This window comes from Homo sapiens, chromosome 7 (assembly GCF_000001405.40).
Source record: "Homo sapiens chromosome 7, GRCh38.p14 Primary Assembly".
Taxonomy (NCBI): Eukaryota; Metazoa; Chordata; class Mammalia; order Primates; family Hominidae; genus Homo; species Homo sapiens.
Window position 1 is genome coordinate 143,987,757 of NC_000007.14, and position 21,475 is coordinate 144,009,231.

The 21,475-nt window shown below is 38.3% G+C and overlaps 1 protein-coding gene across 1 annotated transcript; it reads left to right on the top strand.

Moving 5' to 3' along the window:
* Positions 1–12,563: 12,563 nt before the first annotated feature.
* OR6B1 (olfactory receptor family 6 subfamily B member 1) lies at positions 12,564–21,037 on the top strand. Its single transcript, NM_001005281.3, has 2 exons — positions 12,564–12,894; positions 16,216–21,037. The coding sequence occupies exon 2, from the start codon at positions 16,241–16,243 to the stop codon at positions 17,174–17,176; it is 936 nt and encodes a 311-aa protein (NP_001005281.1). The 5' UTR covers positions 12,564–12,894; positions 16,216–16,240; the 3' UTR covers positions 17,177–21,037.
* Positions 21,038–21,475: the final 438 nt, after the last annotated feature.

Here is a 21,475-nt window from a genome sequence, read left to right on the forward strand (position 1 = left end):
CTTTGCAAATTAAAGAGGGCCAGAAAAATGTGGCACCAAGCAAGCAGATAAGGATAAGGTTATGAGAGAAATTGCTAAGTGTGCCTAGTTTTAATGACTATTTTTTTTTCTTTTTTCTGAGAAGGCCTTAAAGAAAATCATGGTATACTTAGAATTATTGGACACATACTTACTCTCCACACAAAGCTAAAAATTATGTGACCCATTTCACTGACCTGAAAAGTAGAGAAGTAGAAGTAGATTCTACATCAGGATAAAAGAGGGGGTGGACCAAAACAAAAACTAAATATTTCTTATATTCAATGCATTTAATTGACAGAATGAACATATTAGATACAAAACCTTGTGTAAGAGGCTGACTTTTCCAAATAAACTTCTTTTATGGAAAAATAAAAAGCTGTACATTTCTCTCTGTTGAAAGGAAAGAAATAAAAGCCAAAGTGATAACTTAAAAATGAAGCTGCCACCCACAGGGGATGAGGACTTGGATGGAGCCCAGCATCAACAAGTAAGTTTTAATTAGGTCTGATTAAGCACTTCCCTCTAGGAGGCCATCCTAAACAATTTCTTCCTGCATCACAACCCTGTTTATTTGAACTCAGCAGGAAGTTCATACTTTACAGGTGGTCTTTCTTCGTCTTGGTTTTTATCTCCATTTGGCTTACACATCTGAGCAAATTACTCACCTCCTGTGATTCCAAAATCAACCCGAAAGTGATATTACAAAGTTATTGTCATGAAAATGTGATCAAATAATAGGTAGCCAAAACATAGGGAGCAGAGATTTAGAGAGTTGTGTCAGACATCTAATAGATAAAAATATTTTATTTTTATAAACTTTTGATGTTTAAGGTATTTTCTACCTTATAAAACTTAGTTATCCATCATTTTACACTCTAAATAAATGTTTATTTTCATACAATCTTTGTTTATTATTTTATGTTCCTTTCCCTAAAGGGTACCTCGTAAATTATCTGTTTCATACCCCACAAAACCTGAATGTATTTTTACCTGAATTATTTAAATCATAAATTTTTCATTTTCTCCTGCATCATTTCCATAAGCACAAATTTCATATGCCTTTGCCATCTGAAGGAAAAATGAACCTCCTTAAGACCACATCACACCTACCACTTGAGAATAAATCATTTTTAGATTTAAAAAAATAGATCACATTATGTATCACCTTACAGACATGGTCCCATTTCACTATGCTCCTTTACATAGAGATTCCCTGAAGGAACTAACTGCACCTTTCATTCCCATGTTCTCCCCTTCAATCACTGCCCATGAGGTGGAAATTAAAGAAGAAAAAATAAAATTAAAAAGAAAAAGAAACAAACTTTCCTGTATTCAGCTGACTTATCCCAGAGGCAGCAACAGACATGGCCCAGACCCAGGAAAAGCCTCAATAAACACTATCTGAGAAACTAGGACACAAAGGAATGTGCTCTGGAGACTCTCCCAGCACTCCCTCAACATAGGAAGGAGAAAAACAAATTTTCTTTTCTCTTATGGTATGAGTTTATAGATTTCTGTTCTCTGCAACTAGTAACTTCAAATTTTCTGTTTTATCTAAGCAGTACAGTGAAGGTCATGAGCTGTTTGAGCAGGCCTGAGCAACAGCCACCTGGGTGTCATAGCGAAGGTTATGAGATAAGCCCATGCAAGATGCTAGAGCAAAGCCTAGATAACAGCCATCTGGGCTGTGCATCAAGGGTCATGTGTAATTCTGGGTTATGCACCTGTCACAATTTGATTAACTGCCTTTGTTCTGCCTCTGTATCCTTGCTTTCATGCCTTTACGCTTCATGCTACTGTACGCTTGTTTCAAGCTAGCCCACTCCCTTTCAAAGGTGTGTATGTAAGTCAAGTGCTGTCTTTGTTCTTGGCCCAGTTTTTGGATGTTAAGTCTGCTGGGTCTGCGTGCACTCAATAAGGATCCTCTGGTATTCACCCCGTGGTCTCTCTTGTCCTCCTGATTCCTGCAACACTCAGTCTAAACTAAGATTTTGATCCCACCATTCGTCCAAAATAGCTAGTGTATAAATCACTAGAATTTTTCATGTTGCTAAAACCAATGGTCAATTTCAGTCCTCATCTCACTCGGCCTCTCTAGCAGCATATGACACAGTGGATCCCACATTCTCCTTGAATTCCTGTTACCTCATCAGAAAGTTCTCAGACTCCTGTGCAGAAGCCACATTCTCTTCTAGATGTCTATATATTAGATGATTAAGGATTCAAATACAATCTCAAATCCAAGTACACTAATACCCAAGTTGATCTCATCTAATTTTATAATATCAGTAAACACTAAGGACTCCCAAATTATACACATCCAGCGCTGCTCCAGTATCCAACTGCCTACTTGATAACTCTATTTAGATTTTCACATATGCAAGCAAGTCTCTACTTTTACTCCCCTCACCAAAATATTCCTCTTTCTTATCTTAATATATGGCATCATAATTTTTATACTCTTGTTTCCTCCATTTTCCTCATTACATATTCAATCCATAATAAGCAAATCCTATTGTCTCCACATTCAAAATATTGATTTTAGAAGCCATGTAGAATTATGCAAAGATTACCTGCCATGAAAAATTAAAGAGCTTCCTAAGCAAAAAAAAAAAAAAAAAAAACATAAATAAAATCTCTTTTTCAGTGTTTGAATCTCATCTTTCATGACAGGTAATTTTTGATTGAGTGTTGGACACTGTGTTTGGAAAACTGAAGGAGTAATTTGAGGCTCTACATAATGTTATCCTCCTCAAGAGAGGATTTATTTGACTTCTATCAGGCAATTATCTATGAGCTTCTTTATGAAGCATTTTTATTTTTGTAATTTCTTCTTACTCCCAGAGAAGAATACTTTAGAAATCCCAGCTGACCATATAGATGTTTAGAAAAGATCTGTTCCTTAATGAGCCCAGAAAGGTAGCTGTTGCTTTCTCAGTTCTTTGAGTCTACCATAAGTTCTGCCCATTTTCTTAGTCTCTTGACCACTGTTAGACTCAGTAACATTGGTTTTAAGGCATTTTTCAGTTTTATGATTCATGGTAAAAACAATTCCAAAGAAATATAGACATTGACACAATCAGACATAACTATAAAATAACTGATTAACATATTAACATGTTTAAGAAAAGAGAAACCATGTTGGAGAATATTATCAAAAATCTGGAGTCTACTAAAAGGAATCAAATGGTGTTTTTAAATTTAATTTTTTAAAATAAAATTAACAGTCTCAATAGCAGACTAGAGAGAACTGCAGGGGATTTGTGAAGTAGAAGATAAGTCAGTAGAAAATAACCTGATTCAGGGGAGAAATAAAAAAAGAAGAAAAATTTAAAACAGCATTAGTGATTTATGGGATACGCTAAAAAGGTTTAACATTTGGATCATAATGAAAAGGTCTAACCTACTTGTAATTGCAGACTCTAACTGAAAGAAGAAAGATAATGGGAAAAAGAAATTTGTAAGACATAATGGCAAAACATTTTCAAAAATTTAATACAGTCATCAAAACACAGATGCATAAAGTGTTACAAATCTCAAACGGGAAAAATACAATAGAAACATACCTAGGTATATCAGAGTAAAACTGCTGCAAACCAAAGGTAACACAATTTTTCTTTTTCTTTTATTTATTTATAATTTATTTTTTAATTTTTTTGTGGGGTTGGTGCGACGGAGTCTCACTCTGCCGCCCAGGCTAGAGTACGGTGGCGCAGTCTCAGCTAACTGTAACCTCCATCTCCCTGGTTCAAGTAATTCCCCTGCCTCAGCCTCCCAAGTAGCTGGGATTACAGGCGCATGCCACCACACCTGGCTAACTTTTTTGTATTTTTAGTAGAGACGGGATTTCACCATGTTGGCCAGACTGGTCTCGAACTCCTGACCTCAGGCAATCCACCCACCTCAGCCTCCCAAAGTGCTGGGATTACAGGGGTGAGCCGACGCGCTCAACCACAATTTTTCTTTTTAAAGTATTCAGAGAAAGAAATAAAATTATCTTTAAAGAACCAAGATAGAAGCAAAATGTTTTCTTCCCTGAAGGAGGATGGGAAATCTCTCAGCTCCTACCATAAGCCTTGCAAACAAAATCAACATTTGTTTACCTCTGGAGAAAGGTCAGAAAGCCTTCTTGCCACTTGTCCAGACAAAAGTGAGTTGCTACTGAGGGAAAAGTAGAAGTAAAAGCAGTTTGCTCTTAGGGAAGAGGTAGAAATCCATTCAAGCTAGGATCCTGCCCTGCTACTAGGAGTCCACTAGGATAAGGGCAGAAACTCCCACCCATGACCAGTCACAAATAAAAAGTAGAGTCTGGCTGCCATGACTGGTGAGATGAGGTAGGAACACCACTTCCCAAGTCTCAGGTTTATAGGGGCTGACTAGGATGGAGGCTGGATCAGGGAAAACAAGGATATCTTTGCCCCTGTCACAAGCCTTGCACCAAGAAAAAATCAACAGCACCTATTTCCGGGAAAGAAGCCAAAGTATGGAGATACCTTGTATTACAAAGGCAATGCTACGCTTGGTAAAATTTGGGTAGAGCAGGAACACTGATTAAAATCTCCTATTTAGGTTCAACAAAGCATCATTCTTCATGGTCAGAAGAATTTGAAATCTGTGGAGCACTGCAAGTAATTATAGTAACAATACCCAAAACACCTCAACCACTTACACACATAGTCTGACAGAAGGACCAGCACCCCATTTTTAAGTATAAATACTCTATAGCCTAGTCTCTACTGTTCTTTTACCAACAATTTCCAGCATTTAATAAAAATTATATTTCAAAAGCAGCAAGAAAATACTTACTCATTGTTAAGTGAAAGCATTCAAAAGAATCAGAACCAGGAATGATCTAGACTGGATCTATCTATCAAACAGGAATTTTACCCTAACTATAATTAGGATATAGCAGAAAACATAAGCAATGTGCATGAGAACATGAGAAATTTTAGTAGAGCAATAAAACTGTTTCTTAAAGTAAAATAGAAATGCTAGAAACAAAAAAAAACAACATAAAAATAGATTATTTCTTTGATGGAGTTAAGACTATCACACAGGGAAGAGTCAGTGAACATGAGGTTATGGAAACAGAAATTATCCCAACTGGAATAAAAAGAGAAGAGTGAGTGGATAAAAATAGAACAAGCTGTACAACAACATAAAACAATCTAACAGATGTTTAATTTGAGTCTAAGAAGAAGACAGAGTAACAAGGCAAATGAAATATTTTCAGATATCATGGCTAAAAGTTTTGCAAAATCAATGAAATAAATCCCAGATTCAAGAAGCTCAGAGAATCCTAAGCAGGATAGAGAAAAAAATCATATTCAAATTGCCAAAACTCAGATACCAAAATAAAATCTTGAAGATGTGTATAGAAAAAGAAATATTATACACACATACAAAGATAAAATTACAACCCATTTATCATCAGAAATGAGGCACAGCATAAGACAAAGGAGGGCACCTTTAAAATGCTGACAAGAAAAAAACTCTCATCTAGAAATCTATACACAGTGAGAATTTCTTTCAAATATAAGCATGGAATACTTTTTCAGATAAACAAAACTGACGTACTTTATCACATGTGAGTACACTGCAAGAAATATTAAATAAAGTTCTTCAGGAAGAAGAAATGTGATACCAAATGGAAATTTGAACCTACAAAAGAAATGAAGAGTGCCAGAGATGGCAAAAATAATGAAGGCAAAAAAGATTTATTTTTATTAATTGTAAATAAGAACTGACTGAATAAAGTAAAAGTAGTAACTGTATTGTGGAGTAAAAGTAAATGTATTGTGAAGTTTATAACACACTTAGAAATAAATGCCAACAACCATAGCACAAAGATGAGAGGGAAAAAAATGGAAGTGAACCGTTGTAATATTTTTACATGTTTTGTAAAGGACTATAATATTATTTAAAATTGGACTATGATAGACTAAATATTTATGTTTTAGGCTGGGCACGGTGGCCCGCGCCTGTAATCCCAGAACTTTGGGAGTCCGAGGTGGGTGGATCACCTGCAGTCAGGAGTTCGAGACCAGCCTGGCCAACATGGCGAAACCCTGTCTCTACTAAAAATATAAAAATTAGCTTGGCATGGTGGTGGGCACCTGTAATCCCAGCTAATCAGGAGGCTGAGGCAGAAGAACTGCTGGAACTTGGGAGGCGGAGGTTGCAGTGAGCTGAGATCACGCCATTGCACTCCTGCTTGGGTGACAAGACCAAAACTGCGTTTCAAAAAAAATAAATAAAAATAAAAATAAGTTATGTTTTAAAATTTAGAGCAACTAGTAAACACATTTAAACAAAGGTATAACTAATAAGCCAATATTAGGTATAAGATGAAATTATTAAAATTAATTAATAAAAAGGCAAAAGTGTAGAAAAAGAAAACAAAAGCAAAAGCAACAACAACAAAAAAAACAAATAGCAAAATGGTACACCTAAATACACCTTCATCCTCTAATAGCAGTAAAGGTAAATAATCTAAAACACAATGATTAAAAAGCAGAGAACAACATATAGAATTGAATAGAAAGACCCAACTGTGTGCTCTCTACAATCAATGAACTCATTTTTAATATAAAATAATAAATTGATTAAATGTAAAAAGATAGTGAAGATCTACCATGCAACACTATGTCAGAAAGCTGGAGTGACTATAATAATTTCTAATAAATTCCCATAAGAAGGTATATTACCAGAATTAACATAGGATATTGTATAATAAGGGAGTTGATTTTTCAAGACAATATAATAATTTTAACAATTTAATAATAGCACTAAAAATACAGAAAGAATAGACAAACCCATCATTATTAGTGAAGATGTTAACATAATTTTCTCAGTATTTGATAGATCAAGTAAACGATAAGAAAGTCAGCAAATATGGACGACCTGAACAACACCATCAACTAGATTAACCTAATTGACATTTTTATAAAATTCTACTCAGCAATAGAAGACTACAAATGTCAACATATTTGAAATTGAAATTATACAAATATTTTCTTTTAACATAATGATATTAAATTAGAAATAAGGAAGTGATATTAAATAAGAAATAAGGAATAAACCAAAACCTCTGGAAAAATCCCCAAATGTATGAAAATTAAACTCTATACTTCTAACTAATCAATAAGTCAAGGAAATCACAAAGAAAATTAGAAAACATATTTCAAATTGAACAAAAAACAGAGCCTAGAGAAAAATGTGAAGCACTAAACGCTTTTGTTAGAAGTGTCTCAAATCAATGACTCAGAGTTTTACCTTATGAAACTAGACTGAAAAGATAAAACTAAAGACAGAAGATGCAGAAGAAACAAAATAAAATATAAAATGATGCAGAAAAACAGAAAAATAGTAGAGAAGTTCAATGAAATCAAAAGCAAGCTTTGAAAAGATCAATAACGTTGAAAAATCCGTAGTCAGACTGATCAAAACAAAGAGAGAAAACACAAATAAAGACACATACAATTAAAGAGAACACATCTCTACAGATCCTGCAGACATTAGAAACAACACTAAGGTAATAGTTTAATAGCTTTATACCAAAAATTCAAAGAACTTGAGTGAAATAGTTAAATTCCTGAAAAATCAAAAGCTGCCAAAGCCCACATAAGAGAAAATAGGTAGCCTGACTCCCTATCTATGAAGGCAATTGATTTTTTTTTTTTTTTTTGAGACGGAGTCTCGTTCTGTCGCCCAGGCGGGAGTGCTGTGGCGCGATCTCCGCTCACTGCAAGCTCCGCCTTCCGGGTTCACGCCATTCTCCTGCCTCAGCCTCCCGAGTAGCTGGGACTACAGGCGCCCGCCACTGCGCCCGGCTAATTTTTTGTATTTTTAGTAGAGACGGGGTTTCACCGTGGTCTCGATCTCCTGACCTCGTGATCCGCCCGCCTCGGCCTCCCAAAGTGCTGGGATTACAGGCGTGAGCCACCGCGCCCGGCCGGCAATTGATTTTATGGTTAAAAATCTTCCTTGTGGAAAAATCCAGGTCCAGATGCCTCCACTAATGAATTCTACCACATATAAAAAGATAATATAGTGCTACTTCTACACAAGTCTTTCAGAAAATAGAAAAGAATACTGACTATTATTTTATGAACCCAGATTTACCTGATAACAAAACCAAATATATAAGAAAAGAGGCTGGCCACAGCGGCTCACACCTGTAATCCCAACATTTTGTGAGACCAAAGTAGGCAGATGCTTGAGCCCAGGAGTTCAAGACCAGCCTGGGCAACATGGCAAACCCCATCTCTACAAAAATACAAAAAAGTTAGCCAAGTGTGGTGGGGTGCACCTGTAGTTTCAGCTACTCAGGAGGCTGAGATGGGGGGTGAAGGGGTGGCCTGCCCCTCCACACCTGTGGGTATATCTCAGCAGGTGGGATGAGAGACTGAGAAAAGAGATAAGACACAGAGACAAACTATAGAGAAACAACAGTGGGCCCAGGAGACCGGCCCTCTGTTCCCTCAGCACCGGTCTCTGAGTTCCCTCAGTTTTTATTGATTATTATTTTCACTATCTCAGCAGGAGGAATGCAGTAGGAGAGCAGGGTGATAATAGAGAGAAGGTCAGCAAGAAAACATGTGAGCAAAGGAATCTGCTTCACAATTAAGTTCAAGGGGAGGTACTATGCCTGGATGTACACGTTGGCCAGATTTATGTTTCTCTCCGTCCAAACATCTCAGTGGAGTAAAGAATAACAAAGCAGCATTGCTGCCAACATGTCTCGTCTCCTGCCATAGGGTGGGTTTTCTCCTATATCAGAACTGAACAAATGTACAATCGGGTTTTATACCGAGACATTCAGTTCCCAGGGGCAGGCAGGAGGCAGTGGCCTTCCTCTATCTCAACTACAAGAGGCTTTCCTCTTTTACTAATCCTCCTCAGCACAGACCCTTCATGGGTGTCGAGCTGGGGGACGGTCAGGTCTTTCTCATCCCACGAGGCCATATTTCAGACTATCACATGGGCAGAAACTTTGGACAATACCTGGCTTTCCAGGGCAGAGGTCCCTGTGGCTTTCCGCAGTGCACTGTGCCCCTGGTTTATCGAGACTAGAGAATGGCGATGACTTTTACCAAGCATACTGCTTGCAAACATTTTGTTAACAAGGCACATCCTGCACAGCCCTAGATCCCTTAAACCTTTATTCCGTACAACACATGTTTTAGTGAGCTCAATGTTGGGGCAAAGAGGCTAGGGTAAAGAGGTTAGGGCAAAGTTACAGATTAACAGCATCTCAGGGCAAAGCAATTGTTCAGGGTACAGGTCAAAATGGAATTTCTTATGTCTTCCCTTTCTACATAGACACAGTAACAGTCTGATCTCTCTTTCTTTTCCCTACAGGGCGGATCACTTGAGCCTGGGAGTTTGAGGCTGCAGTGAGCCATGATTGTGTCACTGCACTTCAGCCTGGGAACAGAGCAAGACCCTGTCTCAAAACAAACAAACAAAAACAAAAGAGTCCAATAACCTTCATGGACACACAACCATTCTTAATAAAATGTTAGCCAATCAAGTCCATCAAGTTACAAAAATATAATAGATTGTGACCATGGGGAGTTTATGCAGGAAATGCAATGTTGATTCAACATCCAAAACTAATTCTAATCAATGTTATTTCATTTATCAACAGACTAAAAGGAAAAACCAATTCATCATCTTAATAGATGCAGAAAAGACAGTAAATATAATTCAATACTCATTAATGACAAGGACTGTAAAAGACTAGTTATAGAAGATACTTCTTAACCAAGGATGGTGTCTAATGAATAACTTGCAGCTAACAACAGCTAACATTATGAAAGATTAATTTTCCTCTAACATTGAAAAAATGACCTGTATGTTTATACTCATCATTTCTCTTCAACTGAGAGTCCTAGCCAAAATCATAAGGTCAGGAAAAAATAAATAATAGGGATACAAATGAGAAAGAAACAAAATAAAACAATTTTAAACTTCAGGCAATGTTATTATATACATAAAACATAAAGACTCTACGATAAAGCTTGTAGACATAAAGGAGTTTGGCAAGGTTGCAAGTGGCAAAGACAATATATAAAGTAAATATATACACACACACACACATATACATATAAGTATAAAAAACACACCATTAAAAAAATGAAGTAAGGAATTCCATTTCTTCATAGCTCCATAAAAACAACTAACAAGGCCGGGCATGGTGGCTCATGCCTGTAATCCCAGGACTTTGCGAGGCCGAGGCAGGTGGATCATGAGGTCAGGAGTTAGAGTCCAGCCTGACCAACATGGTGAAACTCTGTCTCTACTAAAAATACAAAAAGTAGCCACCATGGTGGTGCGGTGCCTGTAATCCCAGCTACTCAGGAGGCTGAGGCAGGAGAATCACTTGAACCTGGGAGGCGGAGTTTGCAGTGAGTGGAGATTGCACCACTGCACTCCAGCCTGGGCAACAGAACAAGACTCTGTCTTAAACAAAACAAAACAAAAAACAAAAAACAACTAATAAGATGGCAAAAACTGTCAGAATTAGCTTTTGTTTAACTATGGATTCTAGCCAAAAGTTTAAAACAAACAATGGAAGATTAATGAAAACAGAAGCTGCCACATTGCAGTAACAGAGTTTTGGGCATTTAAACTACCCACCTATCCTCGCTCACTTCCCAGATTGGTGTCAGCTGTGAAGATAACAACCCACACTTCTGGCACAGATTTAACAATGTGCGTGAGAAAGAGCAATATGAACCTTATTCTCAAAGAAAACTGGTTACAATTTTCTAACCATTTGGAAGCCAACTAAAGGGCTTACCTTTGTGTTTCTTGAATGGAAGTTTTCCCAGGGCTGGGGTAGCTTCCTAGGTACCATTTGCTGAATGCAGTTAAAAGCAAAAGCATTGGTTGCAGCAGTCTTGGTCTAGGGATAAAAGTGGTAACAAGCAACAGACAGAAAAGATTGGGAAGAAAATAGGTTGGGGAAGAAGGTACATTGGAAAATAAGGGATTTTTTTATAACTCAGGTGTATGCCAGAAAACAAAGAAAGCCAGGTGTATATCCAGAGCAGAATGCATGCTCAGAAAAGGCCTGAGAAGGCCCTAAGATTTCACCTCTGAATGACCTTCAGGGTCTGCCCAATAACAATTGACAGCTAAAACCGAGTTGTAATGGCCAAAGTGTGGAGGTGTGCCCCAAACAGAACTAGTGTCAACCCCAACAGAGAACAATAATAAAGAATAAAATGCTCCTTATAATAAAAACAAACAACAACAAAAAAAGTGGACATAACAACAAATATACGTGGACTCCGAAAGAAGAAGGCAGATAGCCAAGGGACCTCAGGCACAACACACAGGTTCTTGGAGTTTCCCTATTGCCTCCCGTATGTATTGAACAGGAATCTGCAGAAGACTTCAACCTGAAACCAATTGGTATAGGAAAAAAAAAAAACTCCAAGGAAAGCCTGTACAGCTGAATTCTAGGATAAGATCGTGTCAACATGTCCCAGAATACAGCCAATGTTTATCTGCTAAATATCTCCATTCTAGAATTGCTTGTATAAAATGTTGACTCCAGGAGTCAAAAATGATTGTCACAGTAACTCACAGAATCTTCTCACAGTAGATGGACATTTTCTATCTTTGGAGGAGAAATGTGGTCCCCCTCAGTGACAACCATATCACAGCAGCTTAAAACCATGTTGAAAAATTGTGGTTAATATAAAATAATACATTTTAGAGAAGTCAGTTTTTCTGAGACTTGGAGATAAATCAAGGCCAGAGACTTGAAAGAGATGCCTTACTTTTATTTGCTACTACTTGGTTTTCATACTTCAGTCCTGTAAGAGAAATTGTACTGAAGGCTGCTTGCTTAATTACCATAAACATGTGTGGCTCTCCACACTGAACTGTTTATAACTTTTAATATATTCATCTACCATTGCATCAAATCACAGTGAATCTGATAGCTTTTCTTTGTGAGAGGGCAACTTAAGAGTTCTGCCGGCTACAGAAGAAGTGATTTTTAGTACACTAGAGCTTTGTACCAGAATGTGAACTATTGGTCAAATGGTACCCATGGGCAGCTGACAAAGTGACAATAATTCCATCAGGATAAATTTACTTAGTGAACAAGTTGACATAAGTATCTAAAACAAAAACTGTCATTTAAACTTGTACTAAAATGTACTAATATCAGTCTCCTTTGGGCATCAATATCACATTTGGAGCACTTGCATGATCATCCTGTTTCAAGTAAGCCAAAGATGGAAGAATATTCGAAAGTCTGTATATAGAGATTTCACTGCAGTACATTTTTCTCTTCATCTGTCAAAAAATATGGTTCTTTCCAAAGTGCGTGGTCATAAGTGGACCTTTTTTTCCTATGGAACTAATAACATATAAAACAATTAAGATCACCACAATGGGCAAATGGAAATTTCTCTTGGATCCCACAAGAGAACTGAACTGCCATTGTCAAGGTTCTTTTCTCTTGGGTCTTGGCAGATATGTAGGGAAAGTCTTGGTACTCTATAAAGCCCTCAGAATCCAAAGGTCTTCACAGCTCAGTGTGCCTAAAATCACTGCCATGTTCACCAGGAAGGTGATGGGCACCCTAGTCCCAGGGTGCTGGACGAAGCAGCCTCGTGCCACATCAGATGCAGATGTGGTCCTAGTGCCTAGGGCTCTCCTGTCATCTTATCCTGGCTTTCAGCTTGAAAGCAGTGGGGCAATCTGTACCCAGTCACTCTTTCTAGGTTTAGAAAGTGGGTTCCTCACATCTATTCAATACCTGAATCTTTTTCTTCTGCATCTTCCTATTTTAGAATTGGTGAAGGCTTTGTTTTCACATTTCATCCTATCAGAGGCTGCTGTGCCAAGGTAAGTGCTCCCTCTCAGAGCATTACTTTCTCACTATGCAGGCAGCCCTGTTTCAGGCTCCTACAGCGCAGCAACATTTAAACTCTAAAATGTTTAATGCCTCTCTGTTCTATCCACTCTCAATTCCTAGCAATCGGTCCGGATAATATTCTTGTCTCCTGAAATCTAAGTGCAGCCAGTTATGCAGTGAGCTGAGGGAGCAGGCTCCTCTTGCCACTTTGGAGACATCTCTCTGTGTGGGATCAAAAATTAGTGCCCCAGATTATGATCCCAAACTTTAGATCCCTACCATTGACCCGATGACCTGATATCCCTGTGCTGCAACCACCACATCTTCCTGGCAACTTGTTTCTGGTGGTGGCTACAAAAACTGCTGCTATCTTGGCAGGGGCGGAGGTTAAATGTTCATCAAATTCAAATTACTTGGAACCTACGTATGTATAGAACCCTGACAAAGTTGGGGAAAAGTGCATAGCAGCAGACATAAGAAACAAAGATGTTTGATTCTAGACCAGTGGTAAATCTGCTATGAGGGGTAACATGTTTGAGTATGCTTAATGGAGTAAAAACTATTATAAGTAAAAAGGCTGTACATATTTTGCAGTAAGGTGATACATAAAAATACCAGTATGCAATAATTAGTGCCAGTGCACCTTCATTCAGTTAATGAGAAATAAGGAATTCTTTGTTTTTCTTGTAGAGCTTCCTCTAGAAGTGAAAACTTATGTAACTTGTGAACAAGTATAGCTAAATATGTCCATCTTTGTTTCTTTGACAAATGTTATAAGCTAGAATGATTTTTCTCTTCTTTGTGTGTATCTTTAAGTGTATGCTATGAGGGTGCTTTCTAACGGGTCTATGAATCTCTGGTTTGGCAACCTTGTCCCATCCTAACCCATCCTCCCACATCAAAAACAAGAATATAATAAGAGGATGTTGTCATCCTGCTGACAAACAGTGATTACTTATTGTCTATACTTCAGGATAATTCTTAAATGCCTCACTATTCCATGATCTGGTCCGTGACAACAGAGTCTCTCTCTTTCTCTTTCCATCCATCTCTTTTCTGCTCATTCACTCACTCACAACTTGCCCACTCACGCAGCAATTATGAGTTGAGTTCCTGAAAATTTCAAACTGTTTCAGATCTCCGTGCCTTTGTTCACTCTGATTCATCTGCCAAAAATGCCTTTTCCTCCTCCTAATTTATATTTCAAAACATATCCAATCATTATTCTCAGATACATTTACCAAGCATTTCTATACATTCATTTCTGTTATGTGTGTCTGATTGAATATGTACTTGTATCATGTTGCTTTCTTTTTAACATTTGGGTTCATCTCTAATAGTCTCAGCTTATAATAAAATTTCAGCAGGATTAAAGAACACTTCCTAAAATAGTCAGGAATTTTAAATGTAAAATACATTGGTAAGTCCAAAATGTGATATTCTTCATCAGTGTGTTTCACTCTAGTGGTTAAGGACATGCCTTTGTAGTCGGACCTGGGCTTTATGATTCTGATTTTATCACTGTCTAACTTGGAAATATTATTTAATCTATCTAAACCACAGTGTCTTCTTTGAAATTAGAATAGCAATGTCTAATTAACATTATTTTGTGGATTAAATGGGATATTGCATGAAAAGAACTTCCCAGCACCTATTAAATACTCAATAAATTATTATTAGAAGATTTTCTGAACTGATAGTAAGACAGTTAGTAAAGATAGTAAGATAGTTAGTAAATGATGCCATCTAACTACCTTAGTAAATGGCATCACCTCTAGGTAATAAGCTCTATATTTGGGGTTCCTCCGTGATTTCTTTCTTTCTCTCACCTTCCATATCCAAGTCACCAATTACTGTTAAAGATTCTGCTTCTAACGTGTATCTTAAATCTGCTTCTCTGGAACCACAGTATTTAAGTTCACTGTCACCTATTCTGAGTAGCCTCCAACTAGTTTCATAGCTCACAGCTCATGCTCTTGCCTCCAAGGAGTCCGTTTTGCAACGACAGAGTTATCTTTCCATTGCGTAAATCATATCATGTCCCATTCACCTTTAATCTTTTGCTTGTTTCCGACTGCTTTTAGACCACTGTTCAGATCCCTGATTGTTATAACCTCTGGGGTCCTGCACCTTCTGGCCCTGGCTTCCTGCCTTCTTCCTTGGCTCCTTTCCCATCCATCACAGCATGGCAATCATATCTCCTTCAGCACAGCTCCCTACAACCTCAGCCCTTCAAAGAGCTGGGGTCCTAGAATCCTTCCCAGCCTTAATATTACCTCCTCAAAGGTCAGAGGGACCTTTCCTGATTACCTTAGTATTATGTTGTGTCTGTTAACCTTCATAGAAAATATTTCAAATTTTATAATGCATCTCTATCTTTGTTTGCTTGTCTTTAAAAATCTTCACTCAGTGATCCCCATTTTCACTCTCAAGAATGTCAAATTCCCTGAATGAGCCCATGTTTACTTTGCTCATGGCTTTGCCTTGGATCACAGCAGATCCTCCCCTCCCTCCAGTTAGTGTATTCCTACCTTCATCACTGCTCTAATATGGGGGAAAATCCCCTTTCACGATTATTGCCATTAGTTTATATAAAATTTCATTTACATTAACTCATTTGGATTTTGATCCTCAATGAAATAAGCTGAATAAATATTAATATTCACATTGACGGAAGAGAAAACTCAATCTCAGAGAGGGTAAGATTTCAAGGTCATAGCAAATCGGTGGCAGACCTTAGACTTGAATGAGGTCCAGGAGGTCTTTAATACTGAAAAGCCCAAATCTCTGCTACTCACTTTCTCATGTACCTCATAGGTGATGACAGCTACTCTCTATCTCCAGGGATGGTAGATGAAAATAATAGCATGTGAAGGATAAAGGAGTTGTAAGGAAGAACTTCCAGAGCTCTGGGTAGGTGGAGAGACAGGAAGGTCAGGTGTATCTTTTGGAATTGGCAATTGTTAGGTGTCAGATGGTGCAAGATATTAGAAGGAGCGTGGGCTTTAGACTGAGACTTGAATGTGATTCCTGCCCTGCTACCAGTGACAACGTGGTCAGTTACTTAATTCCTCTCCAAGACACGATTTCTTCATCTTTAAAACAGATACAATCACACACACACACACACACACACACACACACACACACGGCTATGTGGAAATTAAATTACGTTGTGTGCCTCACGTACCCAGTTCATGGTCTGACCTGTAATATGTATTAATAAATGATAACTATTACTGATAGAGAAGACAAGTATGGAAAAATATAGCTGGGCCATGGAGTCTGATCAAATGATTTTTCCTCCCCAGGAGAGCTAAGCCCTGTGTCTCCAATATGGAGTTGGAGAACCAGACACGAGTCACCAAGTTCATTCTGGTGGGATTCCCTGGGAGCTTGAGTATGCGGGCAGCCATGTTTCTGATATTCCTTGTGGCCTATATTCTGACAGTGGCTGAAAACGTGATCATCATCCTATTGGTGCTGCAAAATCGGCCACTGCACAAGCCTATGTACTTCTTCCTGGCCAACCTGTCCTTCTTGGAGACCTGGTACATCTCTGTGACTGTGCCCAAGTTACTGTTTAGTTTTTGGTCTGTGAACAACAGCATCTCTTTCACACTCTGTATGATACAACTGTACTTCTTCATTGCTCTCATGTGCACAGAATGTGTGCTTCTGGCCGCCATGGCCTATGACCGGTATGTGGCCATCTGTCGCCCACTCCACTACCCAACCATAATGAGCCATGGGCTCTGCTTCCGCCTCGCTCTTGGTTCCTGGGCCATTGGCTTTGGCATCTCCCTGGCGAAGATCTACTTCATCTCCTGCCTCAGCTTCTGTGGTCCCAATGTCATCAACCACTTCTTCTGTGACATCTCTCCAGTACTTAATCTCTCCTGCACAGACATGTCCATAACTGAGTTGGTAGACTTTATCCTGGCACTGGTCATCTTCCTATTCCCACTCTTTATTACTGTCCTGTCCTACGGATGCATTCTGGCCACCATATTATGCATGCCCACAGGAAAGCAGAAAGCGTTCTCCACTTGTGCCTCCCATCTTGTGGTGGTCACCATTTTCTATTCAGCCATTATTTTCATGTATGCTCGACCTCGAGTTATCCATGCCTTCAACATGAACAAAATTATTTCCATCTTCTATGCCATTGTCACTCCTTCTCTCAACCCTTTCATTTATTGCCTAAGAAACCGAGAGGTCAAGGAAGCTCTGAAGAAACTGGCATATTGCCAGGCCAGCAGATCTGACTAGTCAATTACAGCTGATTAGAAAGAAAGGTCTGAGTGGGTGCCTGTATGTCTTCCTCCATCCTTTCTCCTTTAACGACTCAGTTAGGACACTGCCCATGTTAATATGACATCACCATGTCTACTTCAATCTCAGGCGCTTGGGTATCTGCATCTGTGCATATGGTCAGTGCTCTAAGGCCATACACCTTCTAGAGAGCTAGAGAAAACAGTTCTCAATGGTTGTGACCCCAAATGGGGTTTCTAAGACTGTGAGTAAATTTATAACTGAGTTAAGTAGGAAGAGAGATGGTGATGGGTGAGTTAGCTGTTTTTGGATCTGCCATACACTAATAGCTCTGGGGCCAACAAAATAGGTGGTAGCTTCCTGATTTCCCATCTTTCTAAGACAGAGGTAGCAACTCCCTCAACAGTCTCATTCTTGATGTTCTGGGAGTGAATTTTGGTGGCAGAGACTGCTTCCTGAGTTTTTGCAACACTTTTTGCAAGCACTTACTAACCTGTATTAAATCCCTTTCTGCTTAAACTAGTTAGAGTGCTTTCTTTTATCTGTAAGTGAATTGTACCTTACACAATTGTGTTTTGTCTTCTGATATAACTCACACAGTTGCCTTTTATTGAATTTTATATTTCCCTTCTAGGTGCCACAATGTATCCTTTAGTGGATGAACATAAAATAGATGATAAATAAATATCATCAAATATATGAATTGCCAAACAATAATTGCCCTCATTACTTCTCTTTTCTTTTGATCTTGATATCCTCTTGTTCCCGCCCCGCACCCCCCTTCCCGCCCTCTCTTTTATCTTCTCTTGGTTTTCCACTTTCTCCACACTCAACTCAGAGATAAGTAACAGGTTTCAGGAATTGACAGAGATTTTCATTCCATGCCATAGTGATTCTCAACTTTCCTTACCTATATATCTAACACCCTCTACACACACGCTAGAACCTCATTGATCAAATGTGCTTTACACCCATAGAAGGTACATAGATATGCTTGCTCTTGGTTCATAGTTTTGCCATTGGCAAAGGGAGATATATTTTTAAGCTGTATTCAACATAGTGGGCCAACATCAGTGGGAATTTAATTCTTTTATTGTAACAGTTTTAAACAGGAGAGTTTCTTGCATTAATAACATCTTTTAGCTAAGAACAAACCACACTTTCAAGAATGCTTTCTCTTTCTTCTTAATTAAGAAACGTGAGGCAGAATTATTTGTTCCATTTTATAAACTTCCAGAACAGATGTTCAAGGAAGTAAATAACATACAACCACAGACAGTGGGAGAGCAGAGGTCAAAGTCCCAGTTCCCTGAATCCAAACCCTGGGTCTTTCTCTAGTGAATGGGCTCTCCCTAGAGAGAAAACATACTTCTTTAGAAGCCAAGTATGAAAGCTAGTTGTAAAGGAATATAGTTGGAATTATGAATTACTATACCTGCAGAACAGTAATAAAATAAAAATGAAAACATGTGAATTATAGGTCCCAGAGGAAAAAAGAAACAAAAATAAAATGCAAGCACAACTTGCTTTAGGGAATAAATGTGCAAAAGAGAACAATGCTTAAAATGGAAAGGATTTAATGTTTGCTTCTGGAATGTAGTTTGGTCCCTTGATGCAACAAGTAAGTTGTGATGAATATATTTCTATTTAAAATCTAGACACACAAAAAAGAGATTATTTTCTGAAAACTTCAAATGAATCAAAATATAATTGCATAGTCATATAGGGATATTAAATGTGTGCATTAAGAAAGGAAAAGACATGTTCAGTAGGGATTAGGAAATGAAAGATAAAAAAACTCTGGCAATAACTTGAATTTTAGCCCTGGATATATATTCACCATGTGACCTTGGCCAAACCATCTATACTTTTGGAAACACTGAGTCTTTATGTGTAAAACAGGAGTAATAATAGTTGCTTGGTGTTTCTTACGCAATGGTTATGAGGATCAACTACCATGATGGAAAAGACATTGATTGTTAAATATCTTGGGCAGTGCATGATCTAAGCAAGCTGCCACTAGATTAGGGTTTGCATGGGAAAACTGTTTGGGAAGGCTATGCTCTCTGGACCTGTCTAAAACAATTCCACACCTAGTTGACTCCACATACTATAGTTATAGTTAACCTGGGAGGCTACAACTATCAGAGGCAGTTTATTTCTTTATTATTTCTCATGAATATCTTGGAAAGGGAGAATGTAGAAGTAGGGTTTCTTGGGGAATTCTATTAAATTTTTTTTTCAAATAACAGATGGAACATTGAGCTCCTTCCCCTTTGTGGAAGGAATACCTAAGTGCACAGGCTCAGCAAAGTAAGGACACAGACCAATGTAGAAATCTGCCTCAACAGAGAAAATAATGTATAGTGGATTACTGGTTAAATTCACATAGAAACAAGCTATTTCTAAGGTGACACACAAAGCAAGCCGGAAGTTTCAGGGCATTTGGTGATCTTGTTGGGGTAACCATCATAAAAGGCTGGTAGTCAGTTTCAGTAGTTTATCCAGAGAACATGCCCTGAAGATTTGATTATCACCATCCAAACTCATAAGGAACCCCACAAAATAAAATATAAATATATATTAATTACACATGCAGTATATATTTTAAATCACTATATTTATTCATTCATTTAACTAATATATATTAAAGATCTATTATGTACGTGTAGGGATACAATAGCAAAATATTAAAACTTGTTACCTTTGTGAGCAGAAACAGATAGCAGATAATACCTTTGTGTGTGTGTGTGTGTGTGTGTATACATATATATATCTAACATACATACATATTGTAATGGGTTGAATGGTGGCTCCCAAAAATATATTTTCACACTTTCAACCTGGAACTTGTGATTGGGAACTTATTTGAAAAAAAAAGAGTCTTTGAAATATAATAAAGTTAAGGACCTCAAACTGAGACCATTCTGGATTATCCGAGTGGACTCAATGTCCAATGACAAGTTCCTTATATGAGAGAGAAGAGAAAACAGAGAAGGTGATGTGAAGGTAGAGATAGAGATTGGAGTTCTGCATCCACAAGCCAAGAAATACCTTGGGCCACCAGAAGCTGGAAGATATAAGTAATGATTCTCCCCCCCTAGAGCTGTCAAAGGAAGAGAGCCCTGATGACAGCTTGATTTTGGACTCCTGGCCTCCAGAACTATAAGACAATATATTTCTGTTGTTTTAAGCTACCAAGTTTGTGGTAATTTGTTATAAAAACCCTGGGAAATAAATACACATCCCAATTTGGGTGGCAATAAGTGCTATGGATGGGGAGGAAGAAAGCATGAAAGTATAATAGGAAGTGCTGCTGGAGATGAGAAATTTTAAATAAGATGGTCACAGAATCACCAAGTGAGGAAGAAATGTTTGAGCAAAAACCTGGAGAAGCTGTGAGAGTAAGATATATGGCTACTTTGGCAAAGAACATTCCAGGTAGAGAAACAGCAAGGGAAGATATGGAGTCTTGTGTAGTATGTTTGAGGGACATTGAAGAGACTGAGCAGCCAGAGCAGTGAGAAAAGGGTAAGCAGGTGATATGGTCTGGCTCTGTTTCCCTACCCAAATCTCATCTTGATTGTAATCCCCACATATCAAAAGGGGAACCTGGTGGGAAGTGATTGCATCATGGGGGTGGTTCCCCCATGCTGTTCTCATGATAGTGAGTGAGTTCTCACAAGATCCGATGGTTTTAAAAGTGTTTGGCAGTTCCCCTCCCACTTTCTCTCTCTCTCTCTTGCCGCCATGTTAGATGTGCCTTCCTTCCCCTTCGCCTCCTGCCATGATTGTAAGTTTCCTGAGGCCTCCCCAACCATGTGGAACTGTAAGTCAATTAAACGTTTTTAAAGTAAATTACCCAGTCTTGGGTAGTTCTTTATAGTTGTGTGAAAATGAACTAATACAGAAAATTCATACCAGGAGTGGGGCACTGCTATAAAGATACCTAAAAATGTGGAAGCAACTTTGGAACTGGGTAATGGGCAGAGGTTGGAACAGCTTGGAGGGCTCAGAAAAACACAGGAAGATGTGGAAAAGTTTGGAACTTTCTAGAGACTTGTTGAATGGTTTTGACCAAAATGCTGATAGTGATACAGACAATGAAGTCCAGGCTGAGGTGGTCTCAGGTGGAGATAAGGAATTTCTTGGGAACTAGAGCAAAGGTCACTCTTCCTATGCTTTAGCAAAGAGATTGGCAGCATTTTGCCCCTGCTCTAGAGACCTGTGGAACTTTAAACTTGGGAGAGATAATTTTCTGGTACCTGGCAGAAGAAATTTCTAAGCAGCAAAGCA